Source organism: Homo sapiens, chromosome 7 (genome assembly GCF_000001405.40).
Source record: "Homo sapiens chromosome 7, GRCh38.p14 Primary Assembly".
Lineage (NCBI taxonomy): Eukaryota > Metazoa > Chordata > Mammalia > Primates > Hominidae > Homo > Homo sapiens.
Window position 1 is genome coordinate 26814633 of NC_000007.14, and position 17767 is coordinate 26832399.

Consider the following 17767-nt stretch of genomic DNA (forward strand, 5'->3'; position numbering starts at 1 on the left):
GCAACATAGATTAACAGATTCTAATTAAATATTTAAACTCAAGAGAAACACTTTTATATGAATGAAAACCTCTAAAGGGCCTTGTAAAAGATGTTTATTGTGTTCTAAAATAACTACTTTAAAACTTTCTAAAAGACGTTTATCATGTACCATTAAAAATAAATGCAATCAAATATGATAAATACTTGCAAAATGAACTGCTTCATATGCAGATTCAAGAGTTTAAAAAAATTATTTATTTTTGTTTATGATCCTTACTTTAGAAACAAATAGGTCAAATAATTTTTGCCTTCATCAAAAATATCTAGTTAAGTGTAATATGAAAAATAGAAATGTGCTTAGGCTATTCTTTTTAATTACTGAAACTCAGAACTACCTTTCAAAATTACTCTTTTAAATTGTTATGAATGTCATTAGACATAACAGTAAAACCACCTATCTACAAAATAAAACACAAGATAATATACAAATGGTCTTTTTTTTTTTAAGGGGATAAAGTATTACTGGGTATTAGAAGTTTATCTGTGCCACTAATAGGGACTTCTAAACATTCGTGACTAGGAAATGACTGCAGTAATAACAGGATTTTAAATGCAAATTCAAATAATTTAAAAACACATACAGGTTTGAATGAAACAGAAAACCTGTACAATTAATTTTAATCTCTCTTGAAAGGGAGAGCTACTAAAGAACTAGACAGAATACAATACAGAGAATAGAATCTCAAGGTTGACACATAATATAGGATTTGTTTAGGTGCATTCTACTTTTTTCACAATAAAATCCTGCCATGCTATCATAAATGGCCAAAGAAGATTCTCTAAATAAAAATCAATAATTAGTTTTAAAAGGGTCGAATAGCAAAAAACATCCCATCAGCTGTCTAACAATATGACAAACTCAGTAACAGCCACAAAGAACCAATATAACTTATGGTGCCAAGGAGCCAGATGGTACTGCTGGAAAAAATTAAGTCTACAGATTGGCAGTTCGACCCTGTGATTATTGCCCAAGGGAGGACAAAGTGGAAGACGAGTGGGAGGTTCAGTATGATGGAGGATAAATCAATTACCACCAACTCACTACATTCTTCCTATGATACCCAAATAACAGATTCTAAATACCACATCAGTAAATTTTTCAAGGTTTAAGTAGCCCCAAACTTAGTTGGGAATGATAAAACAGTATATAGTAAAAAGTAGAATATAATCTCAGTTTTTCATCTTAAGCCCTAGTCAATTATATTGATAACCTGACCCAACTGCATAAAATCCACATACAATAAACACTAAAGCATTTTAGTATAGCTCCATTACTTAAAAATCAGGCTTTTAAAAAATTTTTGAAATTTTGCTTGACATTAAATGACAGCATTTGTTAAAATTCTATTTACTTTCCAAAAGGAGAATTATAAATAGATAATGGTTGCATATGATGATCTCATGGCTAAATAACTGACTTAACACGTTTTCTAACAAATGTTTTGTTCATGTTTTTGCTTATAAAAAGAAGCATTTCCCACTTTGTGCTATATAAAGAATGCTAAAGAAGTAGCAACATCGCAAGACACGTTCAAAATCCAACCACACGGTAGATAAAAGATAAGTGCATTGTTAATTTATGCAATTATGAAAAAATATCAATTTTACTCATACTTTTGAAATGAAAAATAGTTACATATTCAGCATTAACTGGCAGAGCTTATGCTGAGAAAAAATTTTTGTTTCTTTGGCCTCCTATCACTTATGAATACATACAGCTGTTTTGTATTACTCTAGTTTTAGTAGGCCAGATATTAAGATAAGAATATTAGGAATACTAAGATATTAAAGATAAGAAAATTTAGGCTATCAATTTTTAAAATACAGTCAATTTTTACAGCTGTTTTATATTACTCTAGTTGTAGTAAGTCAGATATTAAGAAAATTAAGAATACTAAGATATTAAAAATAAGAAAATTCAGACTGTCAATTTTTACAATATAAGTATGTGTTGATGCACTTAATATATTAGTAATTACACTAAGAGATGGCCTTTGGATTTTGTCTCAAACAACAATCAGTAACAGATCAATTAGATTTCTCTAGCAAAGAAATTTGATAAGGCAAAAAAAATGTTCTGATTAATTAGTTGCTAAGTATGAAAGCAAGACTAAATTCACAAGGATTCTAGAAAAGTATTAGTCAAATCACAGGCATAAACTAATTTGATCAAAGTTCACTGAAACCTTTCTGACACATTTTCTAACATGTTACAAAAGGATAGGAAATTAATTGCTAACATGGTTTGCTCAGTGCACTATCTGAACCCCTGTTGTGGGCACAGTCACAGTGATGGAAAAATTAATCTGAGAGGATATGCTTTACCTAAACCACACCTAACTCACTTTTCCTCATCAAACAAAAATTGTGTATGCATACTTCAAATAGCTTGTTTAAAACATTTATAACATTTTAAATGGACATCAGCATTTCAACACCTTATTACACATTCCCCCACCATGATTTTGGGATAAAAAGCTGTTCAATCTTTATATATCTGGACTAAATAACAGACCAGCAATGTGTTTATAGTCTCAGAGGAGTACAGCTAGTTCACAGGAGTGTATACATTCACACAGGTCTATAGGTTTATATATCCATCAAGATTTATAAAAATACATTGAAATACATCTTTAGATGAAAATCAGAACAGAAAGACAGGGGATTTAAAAGAATGTCAGCAGAGAGGAAATATTTCATGATAACGGACACTATTAAAACTCAGTGGATAGTAAAACAGAGCAAGAAAAAAAATTGGGGAACAATTGTCAACTAAAGGAGTTATTATTATATAAAATCCAAATATCATGTATATAAAGAACAACACCTATGTCTCATGCATTTTTACCATCCAAAGGATTAGAATTCCAGTTGATACAATTGCAGACAACAACATTAAGACTTTAAATTTATTTAATTATAAAACATATAGATAGACACATGACACAGGTTTATTTCTTTTTAAAAAATCAAATTGTCTCTGTTTGCAGATGACATTATTGTATATTTAGAAAACCCCATCATCTCAGCCCAAAATCTCAAGCTGATAAGCAACTTCAGCAAAGTCTCAGGATACAAAATCAATGTGCAAAAATCACAAGCATTCCTATACACCAATAATAGACAAACAGAGAGCCAAATCATGAGTGAACTCCCATTCACAATTGCAACAAGAAGAATAAAATACCTAGGAATACAACTTACAGAAGATATGAAGGACTTCTTCAAGGAGAACTACAAACCACTGCTCAAGGAAATAAGAGAGAACACAAACAGATGGAAAAACATTCCATGCTCATGGATAGGAAGAATCAATATCATGAAAATGGCCATACTACCCAAAGTAATTTATAGATTCAATGCTATCCCCATCAAGCTACCACTGACTTTCTTCACAGAATTAGAAAAAACTACTTTAAATTTCATATGGAACCAAAAAAGAACCCGTATAGCCAAGATGACCCTAAGCAAAAAGAACAAACCTGGAGGCATGACGCTACCTGACTTCAAACTATACTACAAGGCTACAGTAACCGAAACAGCATGGCACTGGTACCAAAACAGATACATAGACCAACGGAACAGAAAAGAGGCCTCAGAAGTAATGCCACACATCTACAACCATCTGATCTTTGACAAACCTGACAAAAACAAGCAATGGGGAAAGGATTCCCTATTTAATAAATGGTGTTGGGAAAACTGGCTAGCCATATGCAGAAAACTGAAACTGGACCCCTTCCTTACACCTTATACAAAAATTAACTCAAGGTGGATTAAAGACTTAAAACCTAAAACCATAAAAACCCTAGAAGAAAACCTAGGCAATACCATTCAGGACACAGGCATGGGCAAAGTTCATGACTAAAACACCAAAAGCAATGGCAACAAAAGCCAAAATTGACAAATGAGATCTAATTAAAGAGCTTCTGGACAGCAGAAGAAACTGTCATCAGAGTGAACAGGCAACCTACAGAATGGGAGAAAATTTTTGCAATCTATCCATCTGACAAAGGGCTAATATCCAGAATCTACAAGGAACTTAAACAAATTTACAAGAAAAAAACAACCCCATCAAAAAGGGGGTAAAGGATATGAACAGACATTTCCCAAAAGAAGACATTTATGTGGCCAACAAACATATGAAGGAAAGCTCATCATCACTGGTCATTAGAGAAATGAAAATCAAAACCACGATGAGATACCATTTCATGCCAGTTAGAATGGTGATAATTAAAAAGTCAGGAAACGACAGATGCTGGAGAGGATATGGAGAAATACAAATGCTTTTACACTGTTCGTGGGAGTGTAAATTAGTTCAACCATTGTGGAAGACAGTATGGCAATTCCTCAAGGATCTGGAACCAGAAATACCATTTGACCCAGTAATCCCATTACTGGGTATATACCCAAAGGCTTATAAATCATTCTACTATAAAGACACATGCACACATATGTTTATCACAGCACTGTTCACAACAGCAAAGACTTGGAACCAACCCAAATGCCCATCAATGATAGACTGGATAAAGAAAATGTGGCGCATATACACCATGCAATACTATGCAGCCAAAAAAAGGATGAGTTCATGTCCTTTGCACGGACATGGATGAAGCTGGAAACCATCACTCTCAGCAAACAGAGGAACAGAAAACCAAACACCGCATGTTCTCACTCATAAGTAGGAGTTGAACAATGAGAACACATGGACACAAGGAAGGGAACATCACACACCTGCACCTGTCGGGGGGTGGGGGCTAGGGGAGGGATAGATAACATTAGGAGAAATACCTAATGTAGATGACGGGTTGATGGGTGCAGGAAACCACCATGACACATGTATACCTATGTAACAAAGCTGCGCATTCTGCACATGTATCCCAGAACTTAAAGTATACTTAAAAAAAAAAAAGAACTTTCCCATGCTTTCTCCCCTTCTCAGTGTTCACAAGACAAAAACCACTTTAACACTAATCACGTTCTGAAATGTTAATTTTTCAATGCCTTCAGTTGTTAAAAGACAGCATCTTTACATGCCTTATATCTGTATGTTTGATAATATTAGGTAATTGCTGCTACTTTTTAAGGTGTGATAAGAGTATTAAGGTTGTTTTTAAAATAATCACTATCTATATTATATATCTGGGAATATTTAGGAATGGCATGTGGAATTTGATTCAAAATAATCTAGAAGGAGCAAGTAGAGCAAGTACAAACAAAAGACTACTGTCTACGAGGTGATAACTGTTCAAGCTGAGATATGGATACATGTAAGTTTTCTTATAATATTCTATGTCTGTATGTTTGAAATTATTCATAAAAGTTAAAATAAAAGTGCTCAGAAAATTTAAAAAAATCAAATATAAGCCTGGCGCACTGGCACATGCCTATAGTCCCAGCTACTTGGGTGGCTGAGGCAGGAATATTGCTTGAGCCCAAGAACTCAAGGCTGTAGTGCACTATGATTGTACCTGTGAATAGCCACTATTCCAGCCTGGGCAATATTGTGAGATCTTATCTCTTAAAAAATCAAATATTTAAGAACTTGATTTTTAAAACTGTTAATAATTGTCACAAAACATAATCCTTCCACTTGTAAAACAGTATCTACTAATAAGTTTTCTCAAAAGTTACCTCCTAGTACATTTAAAATGAAGCTTTATTTATAAAATATTTTCTGAATTTAATGTGACAGTAACTACATATCTTGGCTTTTTTGGTCATCAAGTAGGTAAACAACCAACCAAAGAATGAAATCATTTGAAATTTCAAGATTATCTACATTTTAAATCCATTGGCATATTTCTAACAAAATAATCCAGTTAATGCTTCTCAGGATTAAGGTTCATTTTGATCAAATTCTCATATGCTATTGTTTCATTACTTTCCTACTATCTAACAGACAGGAAGCTAAATACGATTCACCCAAATAAAAAAGATCACAGAAATTTAACATAGGTCAACACACAGGTCATGACATTTATGAACCACCACGTAAAAATGCCTGCCATATTTATTAGCAAAAAGTTGAATATTAAATCATAAAAATAATCAGTTATCTTTTAGCTACTCACAATATGATATGATTAAATAAAATATTGTCCAACACAAATTAAACTACTTATGTTCAAACATGGATAAAAATTCCAAAGAAAATATGTACTAAAATCAAGTCAATTATTCCATCCCTTGGTCATCTTGTGACATTACAGTAACCAAGAGCTAACATTGGCATGTCCTATGTACCTATCCCTACTACAATCTTTTGAAATACTATTAATTATCCCTAATTTTACAAATTAAGAAACTAAGGCTTAAACAGAAAATAATTTGTTCAAAGTCAGAGTGTCAAACCAGGATTAAACCCAGGTATATAGGATACAATAATCTGTGCATTTGACGACAACAGTACTATTTACTCATGACATGATGAAACATAAGAGTTTATCTTTTTTAAAGTCCTTGAAAATTTAGTATGCAGATACTAAAAGTACATCTGATCTGCCTTGAATATTGCTTAATATTATATAAGTTGCCAGGACAAGACATAGTAACATAACATGATGCCTGAATTACATGGAGAAAAATAATTAGATAAAACAAAGAGGGAGGAAAAAAAGCCTAAGATCACATCAACATTCAAATGAACGCCAAAGAAAATGACCAAGATAAAATGTATCACCAGGACTATAATCATACTAAGGAATGAAAGTAATTAATGGCTTCTAAAATTCTGTAAAATAGAATCACAGGTTTAGAAACAAAAGCAGCAATTCTCCTGGTTTACCTGTGAGGAAAGTTGGAGAAAATGTCTCTATTCTAAATCTTCTCATCTATCTCATTCTACTGTCTCTGGAAAGTCTTCTCTTTCTCATGATATTAAACATGTTTAGGCGAATAAATCAATGATTTGCCACATCTCTATTCCATATCTCAGACTCCCTCTTAAATATCTTTGACTGGATTCTCAATACTCCTTCAAGCTCAACAAACTTGATCTTTCTTATCTGCCTTTCCACTTTCTTTATAGATAATATCACCTCCCTGAGAAAAGAATCTAAGTATCAAGATTCACGTTAAGCATAATCATGAAGTCTACCATTGGTTCTACCCCTGGCTATTTACTCCCCTTTGTCCCACCCATCAAGTTGATCCTACACTCCGGTTCTTCCCAGGCCTGAGTTCCCCAGAAGTATACCAAGCCCTTCCTTTCTTCTACACTTCCAGCTCCCTCCCATAACAAACTAAAATTTATTTGTCATTTGATCCATTCCTTACAACTCTTATCTCTGCCTGCTTAATCTGATACATTAGCATTTGTCAGATAATTAATAATAATTATTAATGTAAGTATTTTATTTGCCAAATCCAATCTTTATTCTTTATTTCTGTGGTGATAGCTTCATCCATTATCACCTCTGTTAAGTATGACAACTGATGAGCCAAAGTAGTAAACGTAACAGATATGTCATTTGGTCTTCAATTACCCATCTGTATTTATACAAACATACCTCATATTACTGTGCTTTGCTTTAATGCACTTTACAGATACTGCATTTTTTACAAATTGCAGGTTTGTGACAACCCTTGTGGAACAAGTCTATCAGCACCATTTTTTCAATTGCACATGCTCACTTTGTATCTCTGTGTCACATTTTGGTAATTCTTACAATATTTCAAATTTTTTCATTATTATTATATCTGTTATGGTGATCTATAATCAGTGATCTTTGATGTTGCCATCTAATTGTTTTGGGGCACTATGATCTGCACTCATATAAGACAGCAAACTTTAATAATAAATGTATGTCCTCTGACTGCTCCACAACTCAACCTTCCCCTATCTCTCTGCCTCTCCTTGGGCTTCCTTATTCCCTGAAACATAACAACACTGAAATTAAGCCAATTAATAACCCTACAATGGGCTGGGCGTGGTGGCTCAAGCCTGTAATCCCAGCACTTTGGGAGGCCAAGGCGGGTGGATCACGAGGTCAGGAGATCGAGACCATCCTGGCTAACACGGTGAAACCCCGTCTCTACTAAAAATACAAAAAAAAAAAAAATTAGCCAGGCGTGGTGGCGGGCGCCTGCAGTCCCAGCTACTAGGGAGGCTGAGGCAGGAGAATGGCGTGAACCCAGGAGGCGGGGCTTGCAGTGAGCCGAGAATGCACCACTGCACTCCAGCCTGGGCGACACAGCGAGACTCCGTCTCAAAAAAAAAAAAAATTACCCAACAAAGGCTCTAAGTGTTCAAGTGAAAGAAAGAGTTCCACATCTCTCACTGTAAATCAAAAGGTACAAAAGGTAGAAATGATTAAGCTTAGGGAGGAAGGCACGTAGAAAGTCGAGATAGGCCAAAAGGAAGGCCTCTTGTGCCAAACAGCCAAGTTGTGAATGCAAATGAAAAGTCCTTGAAGGAAAACAAAAGTGCTACTCCAGTGAACACACAAATGATAAGAAAGCAAAATAGCCTGGCCAGGTGTGGTGGCTCACGCCTGTAATCCCAGCACTTTGGAAGGCCGAGGCAGGAGGATTACCTGCAGTCAGGAGTTTGAGACCAGCCTGTCCAACATGGTGAAACCTCGTCTCTACTGAAAATACAAAAATTAGCTGGGTGTGGTGGTGGGCGCCTGTAATCCTAGCTACTCAGGAGGCTGAGGCACGAGAATTGCTTGAACCTGGGAGGTGGGGGTCGCAGTGAGCCGAGATCATGCCACTGCACTCCAGCCTCGGCAACAGAGTGAGACTTTGTCTCAAAAAAAAAAAAAAAAAAAACAAGCAAAAAGCAAAACAGCCTAATTACTGATATGGAGAAACTTTGAGTGGTCTGGCTAGAAGATTAAACCAGCTACAACACTCCCTTAAGCCAAAGCCTAACCCAGATCAAGGCCCTAACTCTCTTCAATTCTATGAAGGCTAACAGAGATGAGAGCTGCAGAAGAAAAGTTAGAATCTAGCAGAGGTTGGTTCATGAGGTTTAAGGAAAGAAGCCATCTTCATAACAAAAAAGTGCAAGGAGTTTGGAAGAAGTTAATTCCAACCCTCATGGATGACTTTGAGGGGTGCAGGACATCAATGGAAGAAGACACTGCAGATGTGGTGGAAATGGCAAGAGACCTACAATTAGAAGTGGACCCTGCAGATATGACTGAATTGTTGCAATCTCATGATAAAACTTGAAGGGATGAGGAGTTGCTTCTCAGGGTGAGCAAAGAAAGTAGTTTCTTGTGATGGGATCTACTCCTGATGAAGATGCTAACAACACTGTTGAAATGACAACAATTAATTTGGAATATAACATAATCGTAGTTGATAAAGCAGTGGCAGGGTTTGAGAGGATTGACTCCAATTCTTAAAGAAATTCTACCATGGGTAAAATGGTAGCAAACAACATTACATGCCAGAGGGAAATCTTTCATGGAAAGAAGAATCAATCAATGAATCAATCAATTCATTGCTGTCTTTATTTAAGAAACTGCCACAGCCCCCCAACCTTCAGCAGCCATCCACATTGAGACGAGACCCTCGACCAGCAAAAAGGTTATAATTCTCTGAGGGCTAAGATGATTGCTGACATTTATTAACAATAAAGCATTTTAAAATTACAGTATGTGTGGGGTTTTGTAGACATAATGCACACAATAGTGTGCTGGGAGGTAATATAGTAGTAAGGAATACAAATTGGAAAAAGAGGGTGCATCCTTTTTAAAGGATGACAAACACAACGTAAGCTCAGTATTGCCAGACTATCCAATTTTCCCAGAGAAGGCATAAATCTGAATTTTTCTGGGTTGGCAGAAATTTTCAAAAGTCAAATACTGGTTTGGCTAAACAAAATATACCTATAGGCCAAATTTGTAACTTGGCCTATCAGTTTGAGACCCTTGTTCTAGACACTTTGTATACTGTCTCAATTTTAAACCAATCCATCAGTGAGTTGTGTATCTAGACCAAGGATGGACAAACTTTTTTAGTAAAGTGTCAGACTAGAAATATTCCAGGCTTTGTGGGACTATGGTCTGTGTAACAACTACATACTGCTGCTGTTGTAGCATGAACACAGCCATAGACAATATGTAAACAAATACGTATGGCTGTGATGTATAATTATCTATAAAATATAGCAACAAGCCAAATTTGCTCCATGGGCTGTAGATTGCCAACCCCTGATCTAGACTGTTATTTTGGCCCCACACAAAAATGACTTGTCCTAAGCTGTATTTTGGCATTATGCTACATACCTATGTTGGTGGATGTTTTCAGAAAGAACTCCAGAGCATTATTAAATATACTCTTGTGGTTTTTATTTACCACATTATATGACGTTCTTTTTAAAGCCCCCTTGAAAGAAATTTCACCAGGTCCTAGTGCTACAGGTACTAAGAACTGTATTTCTCTTGAGTACTTGATTTATTTTTATAGCAAGAACACTATAAATCTTGCACCTAATCAGTTTTCCTTCTTTGCATTGGCAAAGAAAGCAAGCAAGCCGAGGGTCAAATAAGTAAGTAATCTCCAGCAAAAGCTACAGTACTTATGGTATGCATTTGAGATACAGATATTAATACTAGCCTTACTTTAATTTTCCTATGTATCCTCCTTTTCCCCACCTTTGATTTCCTCTTTTTTTTAACCTTGGTATAATATATGTATCTTCGCTAACTGCCTCAATTGTTTTTTACTAAAGAATAGAAATTAGGAAAAAATAAATAAAAAGCATGTCTATCCAAGACAAATTAAATTCAAACAATCTAAAAATCTAATTTTTGTTTAGTTCTAATCTATACAATTGTACCTTTTCATATAGGTGCTAACAAGTAAAAGTGATTGGTTTATTTTATCTAGTTAATCCTCTCTTCTCATACATTGCTAAAAAGAGAAAGAATATAATGGCCAAACAGCAAACAGTTAAAAAAAAAAAAAAAAAAGGAGAACTTTCACTAACTGGAACATCAGCTCTTATGAAAGGTTTGAAGAATTAATGAAAATAAATAAGTGAAAAATAATAAGAATTTAAAAATTAACCAGTCTAGACAGTTTTAACATTTATTTTTGCCTCCAGCTCTTCTCTCTATAAATCAATTCAAAATTTAGCATGCTAAATAATTATTTTAACCTACTGCATAAACATTATACTCTCCTCTAATGAACTTGAAATATCCACTACTGAATGTATATCTATAACTATTATCTATCCCAGCCTTTTATTCTCTCTATACACATTTTTACAACACCTAAGTTTAGTCATACTTTCACATATCCTACCTTTAGTGGCTGTTTTTGCCTGCTCTTTGCTTTTGAATTGCTTATTTCTTTAAGACTACCTCAGTTTTCCTTTGGAGAATGGTACCTCCCCAAATCTCCATGGGGATCAGGTGAAGCTGGCCTTACCCCTCTCCACAAACTCTTTTTTGGGCACACGATCCAGACCTAGCCAATTCGTGCAATACACACACACACACACACACACACGCCACAGTGATTGATTTAGAATAAGCACATAACCCAAGCCAAGGATTCCTGCTGCAATTCTTGAGAGATCTCTATTTCAATGGGGTTGCTAACCTGGTAGAAATATCTAAGAAGCTGCTGGTGGGTGGTCATCTTTGCCACAGCCATCCTATGGGTACAGTGTCTCTAAGAAGAAGCTACACATAGGAAAGCAGTATGTGAGTGGGAATACTCATTACAGTTTGAACACCTACCTGGATCTAGGTGGGCAAGAGGCAAGATTCCAATTCTATTCATTTTTCACAAGTGAACCAATAAACTTCCCTTTCTGCTTTGTGCTTAAGCCAGTTTGAGTTGGGTTTCTTTTTCTGTCCTGTCCATTCAAAGAGTTCTGACCAATATATCCCTTTACCAGGCTGTTTCACAAATGTGAAAAACTATTACCTCCATGTTCTACATATCAAAAATCTTATTCTCCTAGACCTGGTTCAAATGCCATTAATGTTATCAAGTCTGTCTTTATTCCCACCATAATTACCGTCTTCTTTCTCCTTCTATATTTCTTGTAATAGTGATTAAACCAATCTGCCTTGAATTAGTTGATATTTATATCTCTCCTGTCTCTACTAATCTATAAATAAGGTCCTTAAAGACAGTGACATACCTTATTAATCATTTTATTCTCCCAAGTCTAAAATAGCTAAAAGTAAAATCTATTGAAATAAACTTTTATTCCATCTAGCACTTTGCCTAAAACGTACACTATTACCCTTTCTTACTACTTTTATTTTAAAAATCAATTACATCTTATAAGACATATTTTCTTTTAGAAAAGAAATCCTATTTTAAGCGTATTAGGGGATTATAACATACATAGATCCCAGGACACCAACACCAAAATAAGTCCTATTCAGTGAAAGAAATATATGTGTATTTCTTTTCCCCGTGGTAAGAAATTTTACTATTTTTGATATTAAAATATAATTCTTATTAAACTCCTTTAGTGTTAAAGAAAGACATGAGCATGTTCAAAATAGAAAAGCTCACAGGTGGTATTAAAAAGCAAGGAGGAGCTTCTGGAGGCATTTATACAAAACAACACAAAAGCATCTCTGGCATGAAATTACTTTCTGACATAGTCTTTAAATATGGCATTATATGTTTCCGCTTTTTAGGTATGAAAAAGAATTAGTTGATATTCAAATTCAATTACCCTTTTCTCTAGATATTCCAAATGAAAAACTTTCAGCACGCTCCATTGCTTGACTCTCATACAAAAATATAATTAATATCTGATTATGACATTGGAATCTGAAAGTATATTTGATGAGAAATGTGGGATTAGAAGGCCTAAAGTTTCTCCATAGTGAAAATAAACCTAAACATTTAAATTAAAATACGACTATGGCTATGGAGGAAGATACAGAGAAAGATATAGGAATTCAAAATAAAAAGTCCAGCAATCAAAATAGTTCTGGCACTACTGTAAATAATTCTCTCTGAACCTAGATCAATGGTTCAATCTGTGGTAAAGAACCAGTTTTTCCCAAGACATCACAAACCCCACTATTTTTGTAAAAATAACAACAACAACAAAAACATAAATTACTAGAAAAAAGATCACGTACTTAGATAAGGCAGAAATATCAAATTGCTATAAACATTTCTAAATGCTTATTCTTAATTTTTGTACTTATGTTGTCGTTGACCAGTAACAAATAGATCACAAATCAGGACCAGTCTTTAGGCCACACACTGATAGCAAGTGCTGCTTAGAAAATTCACATGGCCTCTTTGTGTCTCAGTCCCCTATGTGACTGACACAGGGAAAAAATAAATAAATAAATACATTCATACATACATACATATCTTAACAAGAGAGAAGAGATCAATTCAAATAAACAAACTAACTTTCTTTTGTTAAGCTAACAACAGTAACCATTTTTCTAAGACCATGATCACAGCACCCCTTAGATCCCACCGCTATAACTATGTATTGACAAAGCCTGGCCCCGGAGAACCCAGAAAGTCAACAAAATGATCTATTAGACTATGTGTTCTCTGAAATAACTTAAGGAAAACTGATATGAAAGAAGAGTCATGTGATTATAGGTTTGTATTTGCAATGCAACAAACATTTCATTTACATTTCAAATCTGTGTATTATGTTGCTAGAAATGATAGCGGTATATAAACAAAATAAGAATTCTTTTTAACGAACGATGTTAAAGGCTAGAGAATTCAAGAGTTCACTGAGCTTAAAAGGTATAGCAAGGCCGGGCGCGGTGGCTAACACCTGTAATCCCAGCACTTTGGGAGGCCGAGGCAGGCAGATCACCAGGTCAGGAGATCAAGACCATCCTGGCTAACACGGTGAAACCCCGTCTCTACTAAAAATACAAAAAATTAGCCGGGCGTGGTGGTGGGCGCCTGTAGTCCCAGCTACTCGGGAGGCTGAGGCAGGAGAATGGCGTGAACCTGGGAGGCAGAGCTTGCAGTGAGCCAAGATTGAGCCACTGCACTCTAGCCTGGGCGACAGAGTGAGACTCTGTCTCAAAAAAAAAAAAAAATAGAATCTTCAGTTAGGCAGACATCTTAGACACGTCACAAAAGAACAAGTGATGGCCGGGAGCGGTGGCTCACACCTGTAATCCCAGCACTTTAGGAGGCCGGGGTGGGCAGATCACCTGAGATCAGGAGTTCAAGACCAGCCTGGCCAACATGATGAAACCCCGTCTCTACTAAAAATACAAAAATTAGCCAGGTGTGGTGGTGTGCGCTTGTAATCCCAGCTACTTGGGAGGCTGAGGCACGAGAATCACTGGAACCCAGTGGGGGCAGAGGTTGCGGTGAGCTAAGATCGCGCCATTGCACTCCAGCCTGGGCGACAGAGCGAGACTCTGTCTCAAAAAAATAAATAAATAAAGTACAAGTAATAAAAGAAAACACAGATAAATTAAACTTCGTCAAAATGCAAAACTTTTGTGCTTCAAGGATACCATCAAGAAAGTGAAATGAAAACCTGTAGATACTGAGAAAATATTTACCAATCATATATCTGATAAGCAACTAGTATCCAGAATATATAAATAACTCAGAACTTAACAATAAATAGGCCAGGTGCAGTGGCTCATGCCTGTGCTCAACACTTTGGGAGGCTCAACACTTCAGGAAGCCAAGGTGAAAGGATCGCTTGAGCCCAGGAGTTCAAGACTAGCCTGGGCAACAAAAGTGAAACCCTGTCTCTACAAAAAAATTAAATTAATTTATAATTAGTTGGGTGTAGTCGTATGCGCCTGTAATCTCAGCTACTTGAGAGGCTGAGTTGAGAGGATTCGTTGAGCCCAGGAGGTAGAGGCTACAGAGGGCCCTGATCATACCACACTGCACTACAGCTTGGGTGACAAAGCAAGACTCTGGCTCAAAACAAACAAACAAAAAACAATAAAAAGCCAACCCAAATGAAAAATAAGAAAAGAATTTGAAGTGGGCATTCTCTAAAAACATACAAATGGCCAATAAGCACATAAAAAGGTGATTAACATTATTAGTCATTACAGAAGTGCAAATCAAAACTACAGTAAGATACCACTTCACATTCACTAGGATGGCCGAAATAAAAAAGACAGTAAGTGTTGAAGAGAATTGTGGACAAATCAGAACCCCCACATATCGCTGGCTGGAACATAAAATGGTGCAGTCATTTGGAAAAAGTTTGGCAATTCCTCAAAAAATGAAACCAAAATATACCATATGATACAGTAATTTCGTTCCTAGGTATATACTCAAGAAAAATGAAAAAATATATTAACACAAAAAGTTTTACACAAATGTGCATTATTCATAATAGTCAAAAAGAGTAAACAACACAAATGTCCATCAATTGAGGATGGATGAACAAAAGGTGGCACATCCACACAGGAAGCATTATCGGGCCATAAAAGGGAATAAAGAACTGGTAATATGCTGGATGAACCTTGAAAACATTATGCTAAGTAAAAAAAGCCAGACATACAAAGTTCTGATATATGATTCCATTTATATGAAATATCCACATTATATAAATCTGTAGAAACAGAAATTAGATTCATAGTTGCCTAGGCCTTTGAGAGAGATGGAGGAGAAGGGTTAGGAGAAAACTGAGAGTGACTACTCATGGCATGGAGTTTCTTTTTCGTGGAGATGAAAATGTTCTAAAATTGACTGGGATTATACTTACATAATTCTGTGACCATATTAAAAACCACCTGAATTGTATACTTTAAATTAGTATATTCTATGGTTAAATATATCTCAATAAAGTGAGTAAAAAAAAATACTTTAAGAATCCTAGACCCTACCCCTAAACTGTTGGTAAACTATGTAAAATCAAAATGATCTCTTTTAACTCAATAAATGCATGTCTTCTCAAGCCATAATTTTAGAAGGTTTAATTTTAAAATTGCTTAAGTCTTACCCTCAATTCTGTAAATCAATGTGCTATTCATATATAACGAGCTCAAGAAAATAATTTACCTGAGCTAATTCTTATAACTTCCTTGCAGAGATATTTTCTTCAATAGTATTTATGTTATTTTTAAATCTATAGCATACTTAATTTTTCCTCAAGTGTGAAGCAAGGACCCTGATATCGACTCTGAGTTTTGAAAAAGAAATACTTTGATAAGCACATGTGAAAGCTGGAGAATGGTACCTTCTCTGTGTTTAATTTTTGTAAAAATAATATACAGTTTTGCCCTAATCCTCTCTGGGCTTATTTATTAACAGGGCATTTATTTGCTACTAATGACTTTGCAGCCCTGCATTTTAGTTATGTGTACTACTTTTTCTGTTTGGATTTGTTATTGTCTTTAGCATTATACCATTCAGTTCTTGAATGAGAATTATGAGGTTTTGATTGGCAGCCTTGTTTCCTAATAATTTGGGACCATTTTTTCCCCACTTATTTTCATATATAGCTTCATAAGTGATCTTCTAATGCAGTCCAAACTCATTCAAATGTTCTTAAAAGTTTGTAAATTTTTAGTCACTAGCTATCAAGCTCATGTATCAAACACAGTGACTCCTTCCCAAGGCTCATGATGCCTATGTATAAAATTTTTCCAGGTATAAAATTTCTTTATTCTTACATGCTCATTACTCAAAAGAAAGAAGCCAAGGCACAAAGAAGTACAAGGGTTCAAGAAAAAGGCATGATATATTTGCTATAGCAAATTTAACCACTAACAGTTTTCAACACAGAATACCCTGTTGAAAAAATGATTGTGTATATGGAATCCCTAAAACTTCCAACTGCAAATCCTACAAAATTCATCTTAGCCAGTAAAACATATGAGCTATATAGTATAGAAGTTAGACAACACTCACAAACAGTTGTGTCTAACACAAAAAGGAAAATTTATTTAAGATAATCCCTAAAATTGACTGGATAACAATAGTAACTCACATTTAATATGTCTTTACTATGGGTCAGGAAGTATTCTAAACTTTTTATATACCTTATCCTACTCAATCCTAAGAATAACCATAGGTTATAGATACTATTATTATCCTTAATTTGACAGATGAGAAGACTCTGAAAAGTTAAGAAATTTGCTGGAGGTCACAGAGACAGGCAATGAAGTATTTGAACCCAGGCAGTATGTTCTTAACTACTATGTTTCATTTTTAGAGTGACTAAGGTATGTCCTATCCCATACCTTAGTCACTCTAAAATAAATACCTGAAGCCAGAGCCAAAACTTTTCACATGCCACCCTTGTCAATCCTCATCTCCCATTCTCCAACCTTTCTCAGTCATGTTAGTCTTTCCACAGTTCATCAAACTATGGTCATTTCCAGCTCCGTTTCCCCTTGTCCCTCATTCCCTTAACTTATGTAGAAAGTATTCTTCCTTCCATTCTCTACTAATTAAATTTCTATCCACCCTTACTAAATTCTAGTTCAAACTCCAACTTCTTCCATAAAACATCTAACCACTGACACCAGTTGGCAATAGCTTCTTCCTTCTTTAACCTCTTAGAGTATTTATGGTCAATGCCACACATTTCTGCAACTGAATAAAGTTGGTAAGGTTTCCAACTATTAGATATGCATACCTTTTACCCAAAACAACACTGTAGTCCTTTTACAGGAAAGAACAGTTCCTTTCTATTGCTTATAGCATCTTGGTTCTTCTAGAAATCTAGTATTCACTCTAAGTGACTATATCTAAGGCTTGACTGACATACTTATTTGGACTACCTTTGACTGGTAGCCAGGGAGCTACTTCTTCCAATG

At 35.3% G+C, this 17767-nt stretch overlaps 1 protein-coding gene and 1 long non-coding RNA gene across 4 annotated transcripts in view; one reads left to right on the forward strand and one right to left on the reverse strand.

The window, feature by feature from the left end:
• The window catches only part of SKAP2 (src kinase associated phosphoprotein 2), a 209821-nt gene that overhangs the window by 159863 nt on the left and 32191 nt on the right, over positions 1–17767 (reverse strand). The window lies entirely within an intron of this gene.
• Positions 1–17767, forward strand: part of LOC124901606 (uncharacterized) — a 51980-nt gene that overhangs the window by 9071 nt on the left and 25142 nt on the right. The window contains exon 2 of the long non-coding RNA XR_007060265.1: positions 5195–5308. This is a non-coding gene — a long non-coding RNA (uncharacterized LOC124901606). The remainder of the gene's footprint in view (positions 1–5194; positions 5309–17767) is intronic.